Source organism: Homo sapiens, chromosome X (genome assembly GCF_000001405.40).
Source record: "Homo sapiens chromosome X, GRCh38.p14 Primary Assembly".
In the NCBI taxonomy this organism is placed as follows: Eukaryota; Metazoa; Chordata; class Mammalia; order Primates; family Hominidae; genus Homo; species Homo sapiens.
In genome coordinates, this window is record NC_000023.11 from 21399712 (window position 1) to 21426961 (window position 27250).

At 35.6% G+C, this 27250-nt stretch overlaps 1 protein-coding gene and 1 pseudogene across 8 annotated transcripts in view; one reads left to right on the forward strand and one right to left on the reverse strand.

The window, feature by feature from the left end:
• Positions 1 to 27250, forward strand: part of CNKSR2 (connector enhancer of kinase suppressor of Ras 2) — a 280272-nt gene that overhangs the window by 25294 nt on the left and 227728 nt on the right. For all 8 annotated transcript variants that reach the window (NM_014927.5, NM_001168647.3, NM_001330770.2 and 5 more), the window contains exon 2: positions 26786 to 26949. In NM_014927.5, the coding sequence (NP_055742.2) occupies positions 26786 to 26949 (164 nt within the window). The remainder of the gene's footprint in view (positions 1 to 26785; positions 26950 to 27250) is intronic.
• On the reverse strand, positions 22111 to 22583 carry RARRES2P3 (retinoic acid receptor responder 2 pseudogene 3; annotated as a pseudogene).

Below are 27250 nucleotides of genomic sequence, written 5' to 3' on the forward strand. Positions count from 1 at the left end.
TGTCAGGGCTGTCTACCGTGACTATTGTATAACTAACTACCACCAGCATACATCGTCACTACATTACAGTGTGGAAAAGTGTGGCCTTTGAAGCCAAATACACCTATATTTAAATGCCAGCTTTGCTATTTATTGGCTGTATGAATTTTGGTATATAATAACCTCTTTGAGTTATTCAATTTTCTCATTTTTAAAATGAAGAAATAACACCTACCTCAAAGAGTACTGAGGTTTAAATGACGTAGTCTATGTAAAAGATGTACTAAGTCACTGGCACTTAGTACATTCTAGTTCAGTGTTGGCTATTATTAGTACCACCACCACCTATAAAGAAGAGTTGTAGTCAGGGGGTGATAATATATGCAAAGATCATAGTAGAAGCTAATTATTGTTACAACCAGGCATCATGCCAGTAACCTGCAATTAATTAATACTGTAATTGAAGTTCAATGAAATAATGTATTTTTGAGGCATTCCAATTTAATTTCACTGAAATTACATAACGAAATTAGAGAAAAATAAAAGATTACCGAGAAAATGTATATAGAAATAAAGAGCCCAAGAATGGGCAGCTGAACTCAACATGGCCTGCTCATACAAAAATTTCTGATTGTAGAGTGCTTTGTCTTAATATACTTGGATGCCCCATTCTGATCATTAAAAAAAGTCATACTTCTGAAATGTAGAACTCCACATAATTTCCATTTGGTTATACATGATATTTTATTAGGACTTAGCAGTATCTGAATTTCTGAAGACTTTAAGAATAGTATTTGGCACATGGGCACAATAAATATTTCTCAAATGAATAAATGAAGGAAATCACCCTAGTTAATAAAACTTGATCTCAGGCAACTGCTACTACTCTTAAACTTTTGTGTCATATGTAAATTTAGGGGCACGGCCAGAAATATTGTAGGTCTCCTTTTTTTTCCTCTTCCTCCTTTTCAAGACCTAAGAAAGATACATTTTATTTAAGATCAGATATTTCCTTTTTATATGTTTGTATAGATTAAACATTTCTATTGAAAACTGTTCTATGAACAAAAAGTTCATAGGTTGTTGCCTGAATGAAAAACCAAATCAAAATATATAGAGAAAATATTTTTCAATGAATAAAATGCCTTAATTCTTTTTGGACAAACTTGCCTAAATTTAGAGGTTTCATTATGTGTGGGCTGAAAGGGCAGATGAAAGATCACATTTTAAAATTTTATGTTTCAATGACTCCTTTCTTTCTTACTTCCTTACAAGTGTTTTGCAGTGCTAGAAGTATGCAAGTAGAGTTTTAAAAGATTTTAGTCCTTTTTAGCTTTGAAGTCCAGGAATTTAAACTATACCTTGTTCAAGCTTGTTCCTTTTGGCCAAGATATATCTTTGCTGAACAATGATTTGTTAAAATAGGATTTCTATTATAAGCCAGGATGTCAGCAATACTAATAGTATTAGAATGAATGAGCTTAGAAAACTGGGTTAAGAAATGATCAGGAAGAAAGTAAGGAGGTTGGATAGTCCACTATAAATAATATTAAAATAGCTGAAAATTTTCTGTAAGGGTAGATAGCAACCTTTTGACTTTTTAATGTTATGTGGTTAAAAAAAATCGTGTATTTTAAAATTGGAAATAATATGGGTTTGTATTTCTTGATCATTATCTAAATCTACAAACATTTAACCAAAATGGTGATGGCATGAGCTACAAAGATCTGGCTCTAAAATAATTTATTTTGGCCTTTTTCAAAACCGAACAAATATCACTTCTGGGTTCGTGGCACATCATTTTTCAATGGCCCATTTTTCCCCTTTCCTTTCATAATTATGTAGCCCTGGAGTGAGAGTAGGTATGTGTATACATGTGCACCTATGTGCCTATTTCAGTAGTGTACTAAGTCCTGTCTAGAGTAGAGAAACCTATATAACATACAGCAATCCCTATCTTTTGGTTAATTTCATTTTAAGAATCGGTCAGAGCAAACATTTTCTTTTTTACCACCTTTGTTTTTAGATCACTGCACAGCTCATTCTGGAAGGAACAAAGAAACAGAAATAGCATAGTCTTTGATCCTGGGAAACTTCTAATGTACAATAAATGTAAAACTAGATATTTGTACAAACAGTAACCATTCATGCTGTGCCTATTAAGTGTCAGCCACTTTTCATACTGACTTGATTTGGACATTGCAGCAGCATCTCTAGGTTAGATGTTATTAACCAATTTTAAAGATGAAACAGATTAAAAGGACTTACTAGTAAATGACAGATTCAAAACTCAGAACCCAGGGTCCTCTGAATCAATAGACCATGCATTTTCTCTCAAACATATGGTCTCTCAAATTAAATAAGAACACCTACCCAATAGTGACCCTTATTTTTCTCTAGTTCATCTTACCTGAGTTCAAAGAAGTGCTTTTCTACTGATCAAAAAAGGATAAAAACAGGGTTGCCACATCCATACATGGTTGTGTAGGTTAGCAGTACATAACCTGCACAACTCTATATTGTGTCATTGGATAAGTAAGGACATAGAGTTGCAAACCTAGGGCAAGTAAAAGGAATCTTTATAACACCCCTATTTTTGTTTATTCAATAGAATTTGGAAAATTAGAATAAATTAATATTTTTAAATGATTTTTAAATTTTCATATTTAGGTAATGCAAATGTTTATGCTGAAGACTATATTTGAAGTTATGAACAACTTAGGTTTAATATTTTAAAACAGTATGTTTGTATGATTTTTTCATTTTTAATCTAGCAACTAATATGAAATTTTAGTGGCAAATGAGCACATAGATTATATTACAACATTTTACAAATAAAAATACATTTTTAGTATCTTAGAACGTGAAACTAGTTGACATTTAATTAGCTCCTATTTATGCTAAAAGAGAGGATAATGCTAAAATAGTAAATAAATATTTTTATATTTATTTGACATAATTTTTTGTGCCTGGTTTACCGTCTTAATTATGTTTAGGACATAATTCTTAAATTGATCTGTTGAATCCTTAAGCTCATGATTGAGGCAAACCTATTAACAAGTTCATCAAACCTGTGAACAGGAAGAGCCAGGAAAACACTGAAAAACTATAAGGGAAGATTAACTTTACCAGACATTAAAATATTATAAAACCTCTATCATAAAAACAGTATGGTGCTGGCCCATGCATAGACAGATATACCAGTGGAATAGAATAGAAAGCCTAGAACTAGATCCTGGCACATATAGAAATTTACTATATGATAAAGGTTGCATCTCAGATCATTGGGGAAAAGATGTTTGTCCATTGCCATTTGGAAAGAGAGACAGTTAAATACCTTGCAGCTTACACAAGAATAGCCTCCAAGTGGATTAGGTATCTAAGTGTAAAAATTGAAGCCACAAAAGTACTAAAAAACCCAAGATTTTTACATTGGTATGTATTTCTAGGGAAAATTTCACATACAATAGGAAAATTTTCTTCTAACATGGCAGACTCTCCCCCACCTCATTTTGCAGATGTGATTATTTGCAGGTAACAGGCATAGGGGAAATCAGTTCTCCCTCAGTATTCACAATCTTGTCACCAGCTACATGTATTCTCTTTAAAACATCACTGGCAAAATTATAAATTTATGCTGTTATTACCTTTTAAGAGTAGACTCACTCCTAATTACCATGATTTGTTTATATACATTAACAAACAGTTCTACCCTAAATTTTATCATACGAACTTTAGTGTCAATTAGTCTAACTTCATAAAATATCAAAGGTAACTCCGATTTCATGACGGTGAGATATGGAAAGTATGTTAAATTCTACTGTGACTATGACTGATGATCGTAAAGTTTAGTTATAGAGAGAAAAGAGTTAATTGGTGATTCTTCACTAAATGTAAGTTTCAGAAGGAAAAGATCTTACATAAAATTTATAGAAACCCACAAAAGTTAACTTTAAATCTATATTGAATTTTAAAATAAAGCAGAAAGGATGCTCATTATGCCAGCATGTATTAAATACCTTCTGTGAACTAGGTTCTATTCTGATAATACAAAAATGGCATTTAGTCCCATAGCTGGTCTTACTATTAATAAGTATCTGATAATTAAATGCAGAATCTTACCCTAAATAAGGGTTATTGACTCCAATGTGTAAGTTTCTGTTCTTTATACAGCTGCTATGTTATATTTCATGTATACCACATGCTACTTGGCAGAACAAAGGGTAAACTACAGTACATTTTAAGTAACTACTTCCAAAAAATAGCATTGTATAGCAAACAGTTCCACATGGGATCTTTCATTGCAGCTTCTATTTTCATAAATAGAAACATGCAGCAATATGTAGCTAAGTAAACAAAATTGCAAGAATAGCTTAATTAGTTGAAAGATCCAGTGTACCTAATCACTTACCTTTCATAGAATTTGCTTTGAAGAAAAAAAATAGCCTATTCTGGGATCCATAGAGGAGAGATGCAAGATGCTTCTATAAGAAACAGTGGCTCACTAAAGCCTAACTTCTTAAGGAGTAAAGCAGGAGAAAGGGGGATGATGAGATTTTATCAGAAGCTAGGGTTTATGTGTGTACAGTTTTTAAAAAGTCCCCTAAGTGTCTTTTAACAGGACGATATTTAAAATTTAATGTTCTGTCTGTCATTTTTTCCCTTTTGTGGCTACTCGTTGTATCTTGCTTGGGAAGACATTTTCCATCCCTATATTATATAAATCTTTTCCTGTATATTGTCCCAATATATTCATTTCTTAAAACCTTTAGTTAGCTTTTTATTATGTAATTTAAAAAAATGTGCAGTATATTCTGGCCAGGCATGGTGGCTCACACCTGTAACCCTAGCACTTTGGGAGGCTGAGGCGGGCGGATCATTTGAAGTCAGGAGTTTGAGACCAGCCTGGCCAAAATGGTGAAACCCTGTCTCTACTGAAAATACAAAAACTAGTCGGGCATGGTGATGCGTGTCTGTAATCCCAGCTGCTTGGGAGGCTGAGGCAGGAGAATCTCCTTAAGCCGGGAGTCAGAGGTTGGAGTGAGCCAAGAGTGTGCCACTGTACTCCAGCCTGGGAAACAAGAGCAAAACTCTGTCTCAAAAAAAAAAAAAAAAAAAAAAAGTACAATATAAAGTAGAGGATCTGACATTACTTTTTTCCCAGATGGAGAGCCAGGCGTTCTAACACAACTTATGGGGTAATTTTCCCCTCACTTATTTGAAATGCTAACTTTATAAAAAATCAAAATGATAAACCTCAATTATGTAAACTAAAATACAAATGCATAGGTCTGTTTCTGGATTCTTCCTTTTTGGATATATTTATCCATTTTCTATTTCATTGGAATTTTGAATTATTGTTACTTTATAGAATGTTTGCTATCTGAATGGCAAGTTTCCTCACCCCCATGTTTTACTTTTTCAAATATTTCTTGATTACTGCCCATTTTTCCTTTCATGTGGAATTTAGGTTCAGTTTGTCAAGGCTCACACAAAAATAATCTCATTAGGATCTTGACTAGGATTTCATTGAATTTATAGGTTAATTTAGAGAAAATTAATATCCATATACTATTGGGCATTCTTATCCAGGAATGTGCTATACTTTCTTACTTATTTGGATCTTCTTTTATATCCTTCAGTGGAATTTGATAGCTTTTTAAAAAATAAATGTCATCTACATTTCTCTTTAGGTTTATTCCTAGTTTATTGGTTTTTTACCTATTGTGAATAGAATTTTTTTCATTACATTTTCTAATTGGCTTTGCTGAGTATGGGGAAGTTATTGAATACTGCTCTTGTATTTGACTACCTTAATAAACTTGCTTATTGTTCTGTGTTTTTCAGTTGATTTTCTTGGTAAATTTTCTTTGGTTGATTTTCTTGGTATTTCTAAGTAAATAATATTATGCATATGTTGATAGTTTTTTATCATCTAATATCCATAATTCTTTTTCTTCCCTGTCTGCGTTTGCTAGGACCACTGCTCAATGTTGAATATTCTTGATCTTTAGTTAGTAAGAATGCTGCTTGAGTTTCACTATTATATTGATTATGATGATTTTGAATTGTTCTAAATGTGCTCTGCATTTGACAAGGTCTGGTTAATTGATATATTAACTTTCAAATTTGTAATTAAGTTTTATAATTAAAAATAAATATATTTATATAAAATCCTAACGGTTCAGAAAAGTTAGTTTTAGGAAATGATCATTCATGATTCCTGAGGCTTAAGGGTTTAGCTTGCTGTGTAGATTCTACATAGCAGAGTAGCGTGTAGATTCTACATAGCAGAGTAGCATATAGACTCTACAGAGCAGGCCCAGGGTCCCCAGCCCTTGGGCTATGAAACTGTACTGGTTCATGGCCTGTTAGGAAAATGGGCGGCACAGCAGGAGGTGTGTGGCTGATGAACGAGCACTACAGTCTGAGTTCTGCCTCCTATCAGATGACCGGTGCCATTTTAGATTCTCATAGGAATGCACACTGTGTTGTGCACTGAGCATGTGAGGGATCTAGGTTGTGCACTTCTTATGAGAATATAATGCCTGATGATCTGAGGTGGAACAGTTTCATCCTGAAACCATCCCCCCATTGCCCACAGAAAAAGTATCTTCCACAAAGCCGGTCCCTGGGGCCAAAAAGGTTGGGGACTACTGATGTAGAGGATGAGTTTTCATCTTTTATTTGAACTTGGTGACTTAGTTTACCAAGTAACTTGCTTTCAGATCTTGTAATAAAAATGTAGTTTTAGCCATAAAACATCTAATTCTGTTTTGAGCTGGTAGCAGTTTATATATATATGTACTGATGATATGATTAACATTTTTATTGAACTGCTCAGGAGTCTAACTATGTATCTCCATTATTTAGAAATTTTCTGAAAACTGTTTCATGCATTCCTTTGGAAATTCATAAAGTAAGCTTCTGAGAATAAAGAAATTGAGAGATATGACCACTGGACCACTCCTAGCTGGGCCAAAAAGTATTCCATAAAGTTTATGATCTCCCCTCTCCATTCCTTTCTGTCAAGATCAGAAGAGGTAGGAGTAGGGGAGTCAATATCATGTCTCTTTAGTTTGTAGAAATCATGATTTGAAATACAAGTTTGTAATTTTCTTGAGGTCTTCTGAATATTAATCCTGTTGCCAAATCACAGATCACTTTCCCTGTACATATTTAAAGGAAATATTTTTATTTCGTTAGCTAATGTAAGTCCTGTTTTTTAAAAAACGAAAGTTGTTCTTTATGCTGTCTTCTTTTTTTCTTAACAATTAAACCATGAAACAACCATAAGTTGAAAAGTTTCATTGATTCTGCTCCTCATTGTAACAGTTGGTGATTTGGTGGCATTAGTAGGTCATAGTCATAGAGTAACAGTACTCTTCTCCAATTTGACAGACTAGGTTAAGGCTTTTGGTTTTGGAATATAGATTAGAACTATATTATTTCTAAAATAAATCTTAATGCTGTAAGATGTTTGGAAGCAAATATAAAACTGTAGTTAATGTTGCACTCAGGAATTATTAGAAGGTTGAAGTGAAGGACAAAAGAAATAAATTTTATTACAGAAAACATGTCTCCTAATTAAGTATTCATTAACTGCCCAAAGTTGAACTTGTTAACCTCAAGGTTGGAATATACTCTATGTGTTGGAGAATAGATGCCATAGTAGAACCTTTGGTAGTTAAGACAGATGTACCTGGGCTATATTTCTTCCAGAGAATACTAGTTTCTCAAGATCAGCTATTCTGTTTCCTATGCTATGCTTTTTATTATTCTCTAGTTTCTTTTTCTTTTTCTATTGTGTTCTCACAAGATTATCAAGAACCCCTCACCCCCTCCTATTCAAGCAGAAATTTTGGTTGTTTTTCCCTCCTTCTTGGCAAGATTTGGGATTGTCATGAAAAGTAATGAAATCAGCTCTTTTATATATAAAATTTTCCATGGATGACATGACTCAGTTTTGAATAGAAATGCAAGGTTCCATTTTGAATTCTTTACCTTTTTTGGATTATAGCACTGCTAGGTCAAGATCAGAGCGCTTTGTTCATAAGTAAAGTGTATAAAACGTAACAGGAACTTAAAGTTTCCTTTATCATTATTGAATGAATCACACACTTCTTAAATTTTTAATCTGTGGTGCTATAACCAAAAGAACATGTTTCCTGGGAGGCTGCTGACAATAAAAAGTAATTGTAGATTTTCTTATGTTGTTACATATTTTAGTATATTTCTTATTTTCTTTTTTAAAATAAAAAGTTCTTATTCACTCTAGGATCCTTAGAAATTTTTTCCATTTCTAGAAAAATATCTTGAATTCAGTAGCCTGCTGTTTAAAGTTATCATGAGTAGTGAACTGTTGCCTTTGGGAAAGGAGCATTTTGATCCAACTATGCATTTTAAATAGAAAGATAATATTCATCTTTCCCATATACATTAATTTAGAAATGTCTACCAATATTTTCTATACCTTTCACAATGATTATTTGCAATTCTTATCAACATTAGCTTTTACTTTTTATATTTATAATATTTGCAATATATAGTGCAGGAAATTCCCATTAACCTGTGGCTACTCAGGATGACTCTCACTGAGTTGTTGGTTTCTTTCACAGGTTGATTTACAGCTGTCTTGAGTATAATTCTGTGTAGCAGGCAATGGTAGTGTATTTATATGTATACAGATCTTGCATCCATCAGGTTCTTCTCATTGAAACACACCAGCGGAGAGCTTACTAAAAGATTGTTTGCACAGCTGCTTTCAGGCAGTGACCAAAATTTCCTAGGAAAGTGAGTGAAAATACACTTGTTGAGCCAAGCTCAGAAGTTTCTTGGATAGTGCTTTACATAATATAAAGTCATTACATGTGTTGGATCTTTGCCCTTATCTAACCTCCCCCAACCTCCACTCCACTCCACTCCACGTTCTTTTTTGTCTTGCTTAGTCTCCTTTCCCTAGGAGAAGAGCTTTTGTTTACCCTTTTATGTCTTGTGAAGTCACTAAAAAAGATTTGTCTTCTCATATGACATCAGTATCTAAGGACCTTCAATTACATATCATGTTAGTTTTTTTTTAATTCTGAGACCTAAGTGAAGATGATGTCCATATATTTTTGTCCTCTTATAGACTCCTATCTATGAAACTAGGTTTTTCAGCAGTAATGTAATCACAGGAGAATCGTAAGAACATTAAGCTCCTTTAACTGTTGGGTTGCCAACAATATGAATGTGGTGTTAAATCATGTCTTGGACTTTACAAATATCATCTAAAAGTTAGTTCTTAAATTCCTGGCAAGGAATTTACACTGTGCTAAGAAACAGATGTTATGGAGATTAATTTGTGACTGGAGAAGAAATGTCTCTGTGGTAAGAGATGAGTACAGGTTCTGGGCAATCCATTTGACTTTTAAATGTAAGAATGGAATTCCAAACACTTAACACATTCAGCTATATGACAGAAAGTAAATCTATGGATATGGTATTTTGTGAATGATCTTTTAAATAAAAGAAAACCTTACATAAAAAATGAAAAAATTATATATATATATATATATATATATATATATATATATATATATATATATATGTCTGTCAGACTGTTTCTTAGTCACAGTATTAGTCAAGGTTTGCTATCCACTCTCCCCACCATCCTGATTCAAATGCATCTGCAGAAGTTTTTGCTCCTTCCTTTCTGAGTTTCAGGTATTTCTTCTGATTCCTATCCACTTGTAAAATTTGGAGTCTAGAGGGAACCAAGGGAAAGCAGTGATTACAACTGACATCTTCCAGTTTGATTGGTGAAAGGAGAAACCTCACTTCCTTAATGAACATTGATCATAGTAAAATGCTGTCATAACTCAGGAGAATTTTGCTAAGCAGAGAGGAATTACAAAAAATATTAGAATACATATTTTCAGAGTTCTTTGAGAAATATTTGATAAGGAACATGAACTTGTTTGTGGTTTCTTTTTTGATAGAGCTTCTGCAACATTCTTTTAGAATTAATAACAGTATTGTGAAGGTTGAGGCTAATTTTTCGTTTAGCCTGGTGAATTTCTCCACAGGCTTCACTTTTGGGAAAATAAGGAAGTTCTCTAAGTATCCATAAAACATGAAATTAGGGATTTATTCAAATAAACATAATTAAAATTATTTTGGAATAGACTTTTTCTCTCCATTTAGTTGTAATAATTTGTCTAGCTTACAGTTCCTTTGTTGTCTATAGATGTCTGAGAAATATTTGTTAATTCTTGGGTATCATTATATATTTTCTAATTGGGGCTGGCAATTACAAAAACGGCATAGCTAAATAATCTAGAAACATAAGCCTAATTGTGTCTGTGTGTGTGTGTGTGTGTGTGTGTGTGTGTGTATAACCAATTATCATTATTGTCCTATTTGATGACTTCATCACTTATTGAAAAAAATCAAGTCTCTTTTTGCCTTTGACAAGTGTTGCTCTAGTAATGTGAATATTTTGGAGCTTGTTAGAAATACAAAATCTCAGGCCACACTCCAACTAAATCAAAATTTACTACAGTTTAATCAGATCCCCAGATGTTTTATATGCACATAAAATTTAAGAAGCAATGGAAAACTGACATTGTTTTGAGTAGTAATTAGAAATTTGTAATTAATTTATAATTTTAAAATAAAATTGGAATTATTTTGAGAAAGTCTTATAAATTTTAGGAGAATAAAACAGGGCCTTCAAAATAGGCTGTTTTCCTGGGTTAAGTAAAATTTACTTCATAGGTGAAAAGAAATTATTTGGCTTTTAATTTCATTATGCTATGTTACAAATTGATTCTGATATATAAAGCAAAACAAAAAATTGAGTATCACCACTTATATTATTTTTAGGAAACATGATCAGAAATGGCTGTTGTACGAATGTAGGATTCTTTTTATCCTAACATTAAATCCTTACTTGTGATAAGATACTAACATTCATAGCTTTATTTTAACTTTAATATTCAATAAAAGTAATGATAGTTTAGTGATTAGATGGAGAGTACATGTTGACTAAGTATTTCAGTTAGCCTAGTATTTTAGAACACGTTTTAAGAGTCAAAAAATTCTAAAGCACCAAAGGATTGTGTGTGTGTGTGTGTGTGTGTGTGTTTGACTCTGTAAACTTATTGAGTAGTTAATAATGCTGACATTCATTTATAGTGGGCAAATGTGTGTTTGTGTGTGTGTGTTTGTGTGTGTGTGTGTGTGGATTTGAAATGATGAATAAGATTTGTTTTGTATTAGGGAAGGATCACAGGGGATATATTTAGATTAAGTTTAATAGTAGATGGTGCCCTTTGTTTCTGCAGTACTTTTATACTAAACTTTTCTTTTGTGGAGATTATTTCAGTCATATTTAATAAGATGCATATGTCTGAATTAATATGATCGGCTGTAACTTCTAATGGCAGTTTTTTTACCTCTATATTACTATACAGTTTTTTCTGGAATTACCACTTTTGAAGGTAATTTACCTTTTACCACATTTTTCTGTTGATTTTGAATTCTTTTTCAGGAGACAATGGATATAGTTCTAAATAATGTATGAAATAAGTTCTACTTGTAGATCTTTTCCTTAACTTCCCTTACTAAGAGGAGAGTAAGAGGAATTTTAGATAGGCGTAGAGGAATAAAATGGCCAAAGAAAGATCATGTGTAGAAAAGCTTCAACTTGCATAGCTAAAATAGCGAACCAAGTGGAGATGCCAAGCACGAAGATTACAACCAAAGATGATCCTTTCTGCGGCAAAAGGCAAACTGGCCACAAGTCACTGTTCTACACGTTGAAACCAGAGAAGAGTTTTTCAGAACGTGAGTCTGAACACAGCCTTCAGTCATGGTGGCCTTCTTTCAGTGCCTCATACTCTCACTCCTGTCTCCAAGCTGCTGAGTCCTTGCTGTTTTCAGGGTCTAATACTCTTTCCTCCCTCTTTGGCTAGTTAACTCCCAGTCATCTCTAGACCTCAGTTCTTGCCACACTTCTCCCAGAAAACTTACTCCTGATCTCTCTGACATGGTCAAATCACCATATTATGGGCTCCTGGAGCACCATGCCAGGTACCTTTACTTTCCTTCAATTACTTGTTAGGGTTGTTTGTGTGATTACTTACTTAACATGATTCTCTCTCAATAAACTATTACCTCAGTGAAAGCAGGGGCCATGTCCGTTTCTGCTCACTTTTCTTCTTTACTCCCTAGAATAATGCCTGGCTCAAAAATAGGCATTCAACAAATATTTGTTCAATTAATAAATAAAAGTTGGTATCAGGAATTAGAAAAGCAGTGAGATGAGCATCCTGATACTAGGGACAGGAAGGGAAGCATTCCTTAGGAAAATCATATAGAAGTCTGTGTTGTAGAAGAATAAAGAACAGGCAGTTATTGACTTTGGAACCTAGTTTAAATCTAAAAATATCAGGAGCATTAGGGAAGCCTGGGACTGAGATAAGCCAAGATTAGACGTGTCCTCAGAAGTAAAGTTGGATCAACAAGTTTGCCCTTTACAATGGCAAGTCTCCAGCATTGTTCTCATTACCACTTCCTCTTACCTCCCACCTGGAAGACTGTCTCCTCTTGCCCGTGGGCAAGTCCTCCTTGGAGAAGATAGTTTCTCCTGGCACCTTGGCAAAGATGACTGACTAATTCTTCATGACACGAATTACTTTAAAATTCATCTAGATGTCATTTAGATACAAAATTCTTTTTTCCCTTGATATTTCTAGTGTACAATTTTCAGCATGTCCTCACTCAATATTGCTTAGATATTAAATGGAAATATTTAAAAAGATAGCCGTGTTAAGTCCCATCATGATTAGGCAATTTTTTCATGGTGAATTAGGATTGGGTAAGACATCATACTGATGACTTCTATGTAGAATATGCTAAATTTAGCAAATCATTGCCACTAGTGGTTTCTTTGTATTCAATAGAAAAGAAAATTGTATATCTATTAGTGAAGTTTGATTACACATAGGTGGACATAGCATTCGTAATCAGATGTAAAATAGTAACTTACAGCTGTGGCTTTCACATACCCATATGCCTCCCAAAATGCTTAGGTCTAATTAAAATTTGAAAGGAGCAAATTTAGGCTATTTAAGGTTAATCTGTTGGTTAATTTGTACTTCTTATTATAGTAAAATATAGATAACATAAAATTTGCCATTTTAACCATTGCATTTTTAAGTGTAAAATGCACATATCATCAAACGTACTATCTTAACCATCTTTAAGTGTACAGTTCACTGGCATTAAGTACATTCACATTTTTGTGCTACTGACCTCAGCATCCATTCACAGAATTCTTTTCATCTTGCAAAACTGAAACTCTTTACTCATTAAACAACAATCCCTATTATTCCTCCCCTCAGCCTCTGGCAGCCCCATTCTACTTTCTGTCTCTGAATTTGACGACTGCATGACGACTGCATGCCTCATATAAGTGGAATCATACAGTATCTGTCCTTTTGTGAATGGCTTATTTCACTTAGCATAATGTCTTCAGGGTTGATCCATGCAGTACCATGTATCAGCACTTTCTTTTTAAGGCTGAATAAAAATGTATACACATTTTAAAATGTGTATACAACATTTAAAAAATATTTTTAATTTTTATGGGTACATAGTAGGTGTGTATATATGGGGTACATGAGATGTTTTGATACAGGCATGCAATGTGAAATAATCACATCATGGAGAATGGGGTATCCATCCTCTCAAGCATTTATCCTTTGTGTTACAAACAATATAACTATATTATTTTAGTTATATTAAAATGTACAATTAAATTATTCACTATAGTCAGTCGACTGAGTGACTCTACTATTTGCTGTCAAAAAGAATGAACTTATTCATTCTTTCTAAATATATTTTTGTAAGTATTAACCTTCTCCACCTTCCCCTCACCTCCCCACACCACTAGCCTTCCCTCCCTTTGGTAACCATCCTTCTACTCTGTTTAATTTTTAGATCCCACAAATAAGTGAGAACATTTGATATTTGTCTTTCTGTGCCTAGCTTATTTCACTTGACATAATGATCTCCAGTTCCAACCATGTCGTTGCAAATGACAGGATCTCATTCTTTTTTATGGCTGAATATTACTCCATTGTGTATATGTACCACATTTTCTTTATTCACCTGTTGATGGACACAAGTTGCTTCAAGATCTTGGCTATTGTGAACAGAACTGCAACAAACTGCAGAACTGCAACAAATCCCTATCAAAATACCAATGACATTCTTCACAGAAATAGAAAAAAAAAATCCTAAAATGCATATGGAACCACGAAAGACCCAGAATAGCCACTGGGTCTTCTGGGACCCAGTGCAGATATCTTACTGATATCCTGATTTCCTTTCTTTGGGGTGTATACCCAGCAGTAGGATTGCTGGATCATGTGGCAGCTCTGTTTTTAGTTTTTTGAGGAACCACTAAACTATTCTCCATAGTGGTTGTACTAATTTACATTCCCACCAACAGTATACGAGGGTTGCCTTTTCTCCACATCCTCACCAGGATTTGTTACTGCTTGTCTTTTGGATATAAGCCATTTTAACTGGGGTGAGATGCTATCTCATTGTAGTTTTTCTTTGCATTTCTGTGATGGTCAGTGACGCTGCATACCTTTTCATATACCTTATGGCCGTTTGTATGTCTTTTGAGAACTGCCTATTCAAATCTTTTGCCCATTTTTAACCAGATTATTAGATTTTTTTTTTTCCTATGGAGTTGTTTGAGCTCCTTACATATTCTGGTTGTTAATCCCTTGTCAGGTGGGTAGCTTGCAAATATGTTCTCCCATTTTGTGGGTTGTCTCTTCACTTTGTTGACTGTTTCCTTTGCTGTGCAGAAGCAAAGGACCCCATTTGTTCATTTTTGCTTTGGTTGCCTGTGATTGTGGGGTATTACTCAAGAAATCTTTGCCAAGACCAGTGTCCTGGAGAGCTTCTGCAATGTTTTCTGGTAGTAGTTTCATAGTTTGAGGTCTTTAAGTCTTTAATCAATTTTGAATTTTGTATATAGCAGGAGATACAGATCTAGTTTCTTTCTTCTGCCCATGGATATCCAGTTTTCCCATAACCATTTATTAAAGAGACTGGCCTTCTCCAGTGTATGTCCTTGGCACTTTTGTCGAAAATGAGTGCACTGTGGGTGTGTGGATTTTTTTCTGTGTACTCTGTTCTGTTCCACTGGTCTCTGTGTCTCTTTTTATGCCAGCACCATGCTGTCTTGTTTACTATACCTCAGTAGTATAATTTGAAGTCAGTTCTGTGATTCCTCCAGTTGTGTTCTTTTTGCTTAGGATAGCTTTGGCTATTCTGGGTCTTTTGTGATTCCATATACATTTTAGGATGGTCTTTTTTCTATTTCTGTGAAGAATGTCATTGGTATTTTGATAGGGATTGCATTGAATCTGTAGATTGCTTTGAGTAATATGGACATTTTAAAAAATATTCATTCTTCCAATCCATGAACATGAAATATCTTTCCATTTTTTGGTGGTTTCTTCCATTTCTTGCATCAGTGTTTTATAGTTTTCATTGTAGAGATCTTTCACTTCTTTGGTTAAGTTGATTCCTAGGTGTTTAACTTTATGTGGGGCTATTATAAATTAAATTACTTTATTTTCTCTTTCAGGTTGTTGACTGTTGGCATGTAGAAATGCTACTGATTTTTGTGTGTTAATTTTGTATCCTGTAACTTTACTGAATTTATCACTTCTAATAGTTCTTTTGTGGATTCTTTAGGTTTTTCTAAATATAAGATCATCTCATCAGCAAATAAGAATAATTTGACTTCTCATTGTTCAATTCCCACCTATGAGTGAGAACATGCGGTGTTTGGTTTTTTGTCCTTGTGATAGTTTGCTGAGAATGATGGTTTCCGAACACAGGAAGGGGAACATCACACACCAGGGCCTGTTGTGGGGTGGGGGGAGGGGGGAGGGATAGCATTAGGAGATATACCTAATGTAAATGACGAGTTAATGGGTGCAGCACACCAACATGGCACATGTATACATATGTAACAAACCTGCACGTTGTGCACATGTACCCTAGAACTTAAAGTATTATATATATATGATATGTATATACATATATACAATACATATATACATATATACACACACACACACACACACACACACACACACACACACATATATATATATATATGAAGAATAATTTGACTTCTTCCTTTCCAATTTGGATGCCATTTATTTATTTCTCTTGCCTGGCTGCTCTAGCTAGGACTTCCAGTACTATGTTGAATAACAGTGGTGGCAGTGGGCATCTTTGTCGTGTTCCAGATCTTGAAGGAAAGGCTTTCAGTTTTTCCCTATTCATTATGATACTAGCTGTGGGACTGCCATATATGGCATTTATTATGTTAAGGTATGTTCCTTCTATACTCAGTTTTTTGGGGGTTTTTATCATGAAGTGATGTTGAATTTTATTAAATGCTTTTTCAGCATCAAATGAAATGATCAGATGGTTTTTGTTCGTTATTCTGTAGATACGATGTACCACATTGATTGATTTGCATATGTTGAACAAGTCTTGCATCCCAGGGATAAATACTTGGTCATGATGAATGATCGTTTTAAAGTAATATTACTGTATTCAGTTGCTAGTATTTTGTTGAGGTTTTTTGCATCAATATTCATCAGATATATTGGCCTGTAGTTTTCTTTTTTCAATGTGTCTTTGGTTTTGGTATCAGGGTAATACTTGCCTCATGTAATGAGTTTGGCAGTATTCTCTTCTATTTTTCAGAATAGTTTGGGTCAGATTGGTATTAGTTCTCCTTTAAATATTTGGTAGAGTTCACCTGTGAAGCCATTAGCTCCCAGGCTTTTCTTTACTGTGAGACTTTTTATTATGGCTTCAATCTCCTTACTTGTTATTGGCCTATTCAAGTTTTGGATTTCTTTATGGTTCAATCTTGGTAGGTTGTTTTTGTCTAGAAATTTGCTCATTTCTTCAAGATTTTCCAGTTTATCAGCATGTAGTTTCTCATAGTAGCCACTAATGATCCTTTGAATTTCTGCAGTATCAAGTGTAATGTGTCCGTTTTTACCTCTGATTTTATTTATTTGGGTCGTCTTTCTTATTTTCTTAGTCTAGCCAAAGGTTTGTCAACTTTAACTTTTCAAAATGCGAATTTTTTGTTTTATTGCTCTTTTGTGTTGCTTCATTTCAATTTCATTTGTCTATGGTCTTATCTTTATTATCTCTTCCAGTATTTTGGTTTTGGTTTGCTCTCTTTTCTAGCTCTTTAAGATGCATTGTTAGGTTGTTTATTTGAAGTTTTTCTTCTTTTTTGAGGTAAGCACATATAACTATAAATTTCCCTCTTAGTACTGCTTTTGCTATATCCCATAGGTTTTTGTATGTTGTGTTTTCATTATCATTTGTTTCAAGAAAGTTTTCAATTTCCTTCCTAATTTCTTCATTGATCCACTTGTCATTTGGAAATGTATTGTTCAATTTTCATGTATTCGTGTAGTTTCCAAAATTCCTCTTGTCATCAATTTCTAGTTTTATTCTTTTGTAGTCAGAGAAGATGCTTGAGAGGATTTTAGTTTTTTTGAATGTTTTAAGGCTTGTTTTGTAACCTAACATGGTCTGTCTTTGAGAATGATCCATTTGCTGAGGAAAAGAATGCGTATTCTGCAGTCTTTGGATGAAATATTCTATACATGTCTGTTAGGTCCATTTGTTCTATAGTGTAGATAAACTCCAACGTTTCTTGGTTAATTTCTGTCTGGAATATCTGTCAAATGCTGAAAGTGGGGTGTTGAAGTCTCCAGCTATTATTATATTGGGGGTTCTCTCTCTCTTTAGCTTCATTTGATATTTGCTTTATATATTTGAGTTCTCCAGTGCTGTTTGCATATATATTTGAAATTCTCTTGTTGAATTGGCCCCTTTATCATTCTATTATTTTGCCTCTTTTTATAGATTTTGTCTTGAAATCTATTTTTCCTGATATGAGTATAGCTACTCCTGCTCTTTTTGGGTTTCCATTGGCTTGGAATATCTTTTCCATTCCTTTACTTTCAGTCTATGTGTGTCTTTATAGGTGAAGTTTCTTATAGGCAACAAATCACTGTGTTTTGTTTTGTTTTGTTTTTAAATTTATGCAGCCACTCTATGACTTTTTATTGGAGAGTTTAGTCCATTTGTATTCAGTGTTACTGTTGATAAGTAAAGACTTCCTCCTGCCATTTTGTTATTTGTTTTCTGGTTGTTTTATGGTCTCTTCCTTCTTTCTTTCTTTCTGTTCTATCTTCCTTTTAGTGAAAGTGATTTTCTCTGTTGAAATGATTTAGTTTCTTGGTTTGAGGTTCCCATGAGCCTTGCAAATACTATCTTAATAACCATTATTTTAAGCTGATGAGAACTTAACACTGTTTGCACTAACAAACAAACAAGCAAAAAGAAAAGTAATAAAAACTCTATGCCTCAACTTCATACTCCCACTATTTAACTTTTTGTTGTTTCTATTTAGATCTTATTGTACTGTCTATGTCTTGAAAAGCTGTTGTAGTTATTATTTTTGATTGGTTCATTGTTTAGTCTTTCTGCTTAGGATAAAAGGAATTTACACGCCACAATTACAGTGTTGGTATAATATTCTGTGTTTTTTTTGTGTGGTTACTATTGCCAGTAAGTTTTTTACCTTTAGATGACTAGTTATTGCTCATAAATGTCCTTTTCTTTCTGATTGAAGTACTTCCTTTAGCATTTCTTGCAGGACAGGTCTCATGTTGAGGAAATTCCACAGCTTTTGTTTGGAAAAGTCTTTATTTCTCCCTCATGTTTGAAGAATATTTTTGCTGTTTATACTCTTCTAGGGTAAAAGTTTTTTCCTTCATCACTTTAAATATGTCATGCCACTCTCTGCTGGCCTATAAGTTTTCCACCGAAAACTCTGTCATCAGATCTATTGGAGCTCCATTGTATGTTGTTTGTTTGTGTTCTCTTGTTGCTTTGAGGATCCTTTATCCTTGACTTTTGGACTTGAGGTAGTCAAGGCATTTAATAATCCCTGTTAAAAGACTCTGATGCATTTTTCAGTATGACAATTGTGTTTTTCAGCTCCAGTATTTCTGCTTGATTCTTTTAAATTATTTCAATCTCTTTGTTAAATTTATCTAATATTGTCTTTGGGTTAAATCTGCTTGCTGTTCTATAACCTTCTTGTACTTAGGTATCGATGTATTTCTCTAGGTTTGGGAAGTTCTCTGTTATTATTCCTTTCAATAAACCTTCTACCCCTGACTTTTTCCTCTACCTCCTGATTAAGGGCAATAACTCTTATATATTCCCTTTTGAGGTGCCTGTAGGCATGGTTAATTGTTTTTTATTCTTGTTTTAATCTCTTCTGACTGTGCATTTTCAAATAGCCAGTCTTCAAGCTCACGAATTCTTTGTTCTGCTTGACCAAATCTGCTGTTAAAAGACTCTGATGCATTTTTCAGTATGACAATTGCATTTTTCAGCTCCAGTATTTCTGCTTGATTCTTTTAGATTATTTCAATCTCTTTGTTAAATTTATCTGATAGAATTCTGAATTCCTTCTCTGTGTTATCTTGAAATTTCTTTAAGTTTCCTCAAAATAGCTATTTTGAATTCTCTACCTGAAATGTCACATATCTTTTGTTTTTCCAGGATTGGTACCTGGTGCCTTATTTCGTTCATTTGATGAGGTTATGTTTTCCTGAATTGTCCTAATACTTGTAGATGTTTATCTGTTGCTGGGCATTGAAAAGTTAGGAATTTATTAGAGTTTTTGCAGCCAAGACTTGTTTGTACCCATCCTTCTTGGGAAGGCATTCCAGATATTCAAAAGGACTTAGGTGTTATGATCTAAGCTGTATCTGCCTCAGGGAGCACCCCAAGCCCGGTGATGCTGTGCTTCTTACAGACTCATAGAGGCCTCCTTGATGATCTTGGACAAGATCTGGGATAATTCTCTGGATTACCTGGCAGAGACTTTTGTTCTCTTCCCTTACTGTCTCCCAAATAAACAGTCTCTCACTCTGTTGTGAGCCACCTGAAGCTGTGGGTGGAGTGAGACAAGCACCCTTGTGGCCACCACCACCATGACTGTGCTGGGTCATACCTGAAGCCAACACAGCACTACATCTTGCTCAAGTCCTGCTTTAACCCCTCCCTGGCTACTGCTTATGTTCTCTCAAGACCCTGAGGCTCTACAGTCAGCAAATGCCAAAGCCAGTGGGCTTGTGTTCTTCCCTTCAGGGCAGCAATTTCCCCCAGGCCCTGGGTGGGTCCAGAGGTGCTGTCTGGGAGCCAGGGACTAGCATTTAAAACCTTAGAAGTGCACCTGGTGTTCTGTTGTACTGTGGCTGATCTGACACTCAAACCACAAGATGTAGTTCTTCCCACTCTTCTCTCCCCTTTCCAAAGGCAGAGGATCCCCACCCCATGGCCACTGTCACCACAAAACCATGGTAAGTAGTGCCAAACTACCACTGCTGTTTCCTTAAGGCCTGAGGTCTCTTCAATCAGCTTGTAGCGAATGCTGCCTGGCCTGGGCCTCACCCTTCAAGGACAGTGGGCTCCCCTCTGGCCCAGGGCAGGTCCAGAAATGCCATCCATCCAAGAGCCAAGTCCTAGAATTGTGGACCCCAAGAACCTGCTTTGTTCTCTAGCCCCCTATGCATGAGCTGGTACCTAAGGTACAAGACAAAGTCCCCTTTCCTTTTTCTTCTGCTTTTTTGAAGCAGAAGGAATTGTGCCCCGTAGTCAACCGCAGCTCCAGATGTGCTGGGTCTCACCTGAAGCCAACAAGTCTCACAGTCTCACACAGGGCCCTTGATTTAGTACTTGGGTATCATTGCTGCTTTTTCAGGGCCCAAGGGCTCTTCAGTTAGCTGGTGATGAATGGTGCCAGGATGGGGTCATTCCCTTCTGGACCAGGGTATGTCTAGGAATGTCATCCAGGAGCTTGGGCCTGGAAAGGGGCCCTCATGACTCTGACCAGTGCCCTATCCTGCCATGGCTAAGCTAGTATCCAAGATGCAAGATAAAGTTTTCCCTGTTTTCTCCTCAAGCGGAAGGAAGGAGTCTCTTTTGGAGCCATGAGCTGTAAAGCCTGGGGTTAGGGAAGAGATAATACCAGCACTCTCTTGGCCACCCTGGCTGGTGTTTTAGTATGTTGTGTGTCACCCCTATCCACTGTCTCTGGGCCCTGTTCAGCATTAGAACTCTCCTAGGATTTGCAGTCCTTGTGGCCTAGACTGTGTTTCAAGTTTATTTATTTAAATCCTCATAGCACTTTAGCCCATGGTGTCCAGGTTTGTGGGAACTCAGGTTCCAACTGCCAGGATTGATGATTCCGCTCTGGCTAGGGCTGGTTTAAATGCTCCCTCTGTGGGTGGGCATCAGCTGAGTTTGGTCTTGTTTTCCTTTCTGCTCTATCAGGACAGCAGCAAGTTCAATGCCTCACAATTGCTGTGCTCTCCCTCCAGCACAAAGAAACACTCTAGTCACCACGCTACCACTGCCTGGGCTTCAGGAAGGTGTGGCATCACTGATTTAAGATGGTTTTTTTTTTTTTTTTTTTAAGGTTTTCAGTGCCTTTTTCAGTGATGCGAAGTTAAAACTGGGTACTGTGAGTGCTCACCTGATGTTTGGTTCCTATGAGGGTGCTTTTTTGTGTAGATAATTATTAAATTGGTGTCCTTGCGGGGGGCTAGGGAAGGCAATTGGTGGAGCCTTCTGTTCTACCATCTTGCTCCACCTCCTCCAACATTTTCTTTATCTACTTATACATCAGTGGACACTTGGGTTGCTTCCACCTCTCGCCTATTGTGAATAATGCTTTTATGAACATAGGTGTACAACTATCTCTTCAAATATCTGCTTTCATTTTGTTTGGGTATGTAGCCTGAAGTGGAATTGCTGAATTCTATGGTAATCTTTTTTTTATTTTATATTTATTTTTTTCTTTGTTTTTTGGAGAGTAGTTTTATTAGCTTGGGATATAATGGGATCATCACTAGGAGGGCAGGGTATTCCACTGGTTACCACGTGCAGCTGTCTGGGGAGCATGATAAAATTCAGTCCAGGGTTCTGTGCTGGGGAGCAGGGCCTTGAAAAGAAGGCAAATTGTCCAGGGAAGTAGTAGCTGTGAGGGTCATGGCTACCTTGCTCCACTCTACTGCACTGGATCTCCTGGTGCTTTTCAGGCTCCTGTCAATCCTGCATCTGTATGGGGCAATGGACCATCTGGCCCAAAACTTCATCCTCAAGTTTGATGTAGGCCAGGCATTTCTGCTTCTTTCCACTGGACTTGACTTTGCACTCAGGATTCTTCTTGCAGAAATTTATATACTGGAGCTTAAATTCTAGCCCCACAAAGTTCCCTGCTGGGGAGAGTGTATCCATAGCACTGCTCATATTGGTCTCCCTGAAGGCTCACTGCATAAGTGGATGCTTATGGAATTTCCCCAGGGTACCTGCAGGCCCTGCTGCTAGGCCTTTAGGAGCTCAGCCCCGCCTAATCCCATGGTGCCCAGCCATAGGTCCAGCAGGATCAGCAGCTACTGCATGGGTTTCCCTCAGTCACCCTGGACCTTCTTTCCTGTGCCTTCAAGAAATTTCCTAACCTTCACCATGGCTAAATCTTGGCCTCAGCTGTCAATCTCTTCCTGGTCTTCTCCCCCTGCACATCCCTGCCCCTGATGCTCTTTCCTACTGTGGGGGCCTGTTTTCACTTATGTACTTATTTTCTCCCTGGAATTATAAACCCTGTTGATAGACTGTAACATCCTTAAAGTCAGCAAAGATAAACATGTTTCTATCTTCATGATAACCAGTTATTATTTGGTCTACAATACAATGTAATTTTTTTAAATGTATTTTCAGCCTTGCTGTAAGAAACAGTCTAATGGGAACTTATAGTTGTGTTTATCAAAAGAGTTTATTGAAGGTGTTGTTTATTACATTACACAAGGATTTCTTCCCACAAGAAATCCTTTTTGCTGACTTTAGTGTCAAAAATGGATGGGCATGTTTGAGGTGATGGATATTCCAATTACCCTGTTTTTATCATTATACTTTGTATAATGTATCAGAATATCACATGTATCTCATAAGTATATACAGTTATTATGTATCAATTTAAGAAAAGACTGGATGGGCTTCTCCGAGAAACTGGCTTGCTGTTATCTAATGAATGTTTTAAACTATTAATGTTTTTCATTTGTATGAATTTTTTATATTTTCATTATTCTGGCTCCCACTTTATGACTAACCATATTTTCCTCATCTACTTTGAATTTGTATTGCCCTCCTGAATTGTGTGTGTGTAAACAATATACTTAAATGCCTTTTGATGCAAAGCATAATTTAAATAAATATATATTAAACAAAGACCTTAAAGTTTTAATGGAAAATAGAAAAACATTTTTGGTATAATGACTTTTGGTATGGTACAAACAAACAGTCTAGAGGTTTGGAAACCATCCTTTCCGTTCCTCCCTCACTCCTAATTCTGCATAGTCTTTAAGAGCATGGATTTAGAGGCAAATGGACTTGGGTTTAGACCTTGCCTTACCATTTATAAGCTGTTGGATCCCAGGCATGGTCCCTAAATTTAAATTTTCTTATCTGTAAAATCAAGATAATGATATACAGTTCATAAATAATAGAAGGTATTACTATTATTCAGCATCAATTCTTCTATATAGAATTGATATAAAACTATTGAAAGTGTAGCCTTTTTCAAAATAAGTTAGGACAGAGTAAATGAGAACAGTCCCAGAAGAAAATTATCCTTCCTTTTAAAATTTTATTTGGTTTTCTTGAGAATCCTTGTGAAAACAAATCATATGCTACTTGTTATAGAGCGACTGCTTGCTTGTAGGAGGACGACTGTTAAGGATGCCTTTGAAGAACATAAAGAACAGGGGTTTCTCAGGTCAACATGTATTATATTGGTATCTAAAAACTATTTGCAATGTTTCCCCTTTCATTCATTCAAATGCCACTTCAGATTGAATGCCATCTGGGTACTCTACACAGTATTGAATTCATCAAGAGTATGCTAGCATGGACTTTAGTCCTTGGTAGTTTTAATTTTTTTTTTCTGGTAGGTCTAGAAGAGTGTGATTTCATTAGCCACTGTTGTATGTTATTCTTTTTCATTTTAATAACTGTATGTTTCTATCTCTCTTTACCCATTTATTTTTGCAAGGGTATGAATCCACTTTATTGTTGAGATGTGTTTTTTCAGTCTTGAGATGGTCCGATATAGTCGAATTAGGTTTGATTTTGGATCCTCTGGGACCAGGTTTTAATTATTGGTTTGCCTGTGAGTTACTTACTGTGTACACTTAGAGAATTACCTAATCTCACTGAGCTTTAATTTCTTCACTTCTGAAATTGGTATAACAGCAGTCTCTTTGACACGACTTGGCATCTTTCTGTTTACTTCCCATCCTCACCATTATCCTGTAATCTTCTAAAGGAATATTCTACATGCAAGGCCTTCACTTTCTCATTTCCCAGTCACTGCTCAATCCCGTAGTCTGTCTGGCTTCTCTTTGCCTTATTCTAATACTGTTCTGGCTAAAATCATTGATAATCTCTTAATTCTCAGAGTGCTTTAGTCCTTATCTTACTAGAATGCTGTGTTGCATTTAACACTTGTCTGTCGTGCCTTTCTTATTATTACCTTGTCCTCTCTGATCCATTTTTGTTTTCATTCTTAGATGCCCCTTTGTCTGGCCAACCCTCAAGTTGTATGGACCACTATACCTTTCACCCTATACAGTTGAGGGAGATTGGTTCCAGGAACCCCCACAGATACCAAACTCTGCAAATGCTCATGTCCCTTATATAAAATAGTATGGTATTTGGATATAATCTATGAAATCCTCTTGTATACTTTAAGTCATCTCTAGGTTACAAATAATACCTAATACAAGTACTGCATTCCTTGAGGTCTGTGTCTTATTTACCCTTTTATCTCCAGCGTTCACAGCAGTGTCTGACAAATAATTCCTTCATTTTTCCCCTTGTTCCTGACTTTAGAGTCTTCCTTTTAAAATATAAATCCTGTTTAGCTCTGTGACACTGTAATTACTACCAACTCCATTTAGATATTCAGCACATATTTGTAATAGTATCAATTTACATGTTTATTTTATTTACAAATAACTCAGTGAACTCTCACACAGATCCATAATGTTGTCTTATAGTTATTAGGCAGGGAGTCCCTCATCTTACTCACAGGCTATAAATCTACCTGCATCTACACCCATCTTCTCCTCCTTCCCTCCTTTTTCAATAGAGATATACAGTTCTTATCCACATTTAAATATCTTCAAGTCTCTAACATCTTTAAGAAAGAAAAACAGACTCTCTCTCTCAATCCCATATTCTCTAGATATCCTCTTATTTTTCTCTTCTCTTACGTAGCCTGACTGCTTTGAAGACTCCTCAACCCATTCGATGCTGGCTTATTGCCATCACTGTGAAAACAACTCTCAGGAATATCACTAGTGACTTTCACATTGCTATATCCAGTGAGAACATTTCAGCCCTCATCAGTATACACATACTAATGGAGAATGAAAGAAAAAGAAGATTGTATAGGGAGGCTACAAAGTAATTCTAGTTACTTTAAGGAATTTTGAGACTATAGTAAAGACATCTGTGGCCTTATACTAGACCCTGTCAGGAATCACACTGCTTTTAGGACTGACTCATTTTCTTTCTCAATGGCTACATAATCTCTCTGTTTGGAAACTTGACTTCCTTTTGCACATCTTTTCTAATTTCATCTCTGTTTTTTCTATTCTCTTATAATTTCTGCTCCTCCATAACTTCAGCTGGAATGTAGCCCCTTATAGCCTCTGGTCTCCCTCCTTGACATAATGAGGACCTCTTAGTTTCAGCTAATTGCCTTATTTTCTTGGTATTCTTTACTTAAATTTCTAGAGCGTTAGTTTTATTAGTCCAGTTCATCATTTGTATCAGGCCACTTCACAGGTGATTGAAACCGCCTCAATCTATAGCCTAGCCAATCACTTATGAATTGCCCTGGGTAATCCTGATTTCTACTTTTGGATTTGAGTAAAATCCAAATGATAATGGATTAAGGAGCGCATCACAGGTGAGGAAATAAGGGTAAGGGCTTGAATCCAAAGAGGGTGACAGACTAGTGGGGAGCACACATGATCAACAAAATCAAATAAAGGATTTTGTGTTTTATTTTAAGATGGCAGAGATTTGAACATAGAATGAGTCAATAGGCAATAGTTGAAACAAAGAGAGAATTTAATTTTTTAGTTATTGAAGTTGTGTTAAGGTGGCAGAAGATGGGACTACAGAGTACAGAAAGATAGATTAGCTTTAAATAGGAAGGATACCTCTTCCTCTGAAGTGGAGTTTAAGTAAGAAAGTAAGAATTTGATGCAGATAAATTTGAAAATAGGGGAACCTGCCTGTTGGCATACTTTATGAAATAGTCAGCAAGGAGAACTGCACAGAAGAAAGATAAAGATTTCCAGTACGTGCTGAGGAAAATTCAACTAGGTACCTAACAACTACGAGTATGATGAAGTGATTTTCTTTTTCACTGTAGCCCATATGTAGGTTAAGAAAGGGCGAAGGATTTGGCTAGTTCAGAGTTAAAATGGACTTAATTTGTGACATGGTAGCATTAATGCTTGCTTCTAACCCACCCTTCACATTTATTTGGTTTGACCATGTTTTCATTCTGGTCTTTCATACTTTTATTTTGTAGGTCTTGATGACTGTTTGCAGCAGTATATTAAGAACTTTGAGAGGGAGAAGATCAGTGGGGACCAGCTGCTGCGCATTACACATCAGGAGCTAGAAGATCTGGGGGTCAGCCGCATTGGCCATCAGGAACTGATCTTGGAAGCAGTTGACCTTCTGTGTGCATTGGTAAGGACATAAAACTGGTGAAGAGGGAAACTTCTCTTTTTCTTCTTTTGTTGCTTTTCCCTTTTTTCTTCTCCTCTTTTGATAATCGAAATGCAAATAGAAGAAAAAAACTCTGATTCTCAACCAGCTGGACCTGATATTTTCTTCCTTCCTTAAATTTATTATATTAGTGCCAAATAACAGTTCCCTGTTTGTAACATCTTTTATAACAGTAAGACTTGGGTATATCAGAACCTTAAGTCCAGAGTGTATGTCTCATAAGCAGGGCTCTTCATAGATGAACCACTCATGTGCTAGGCTC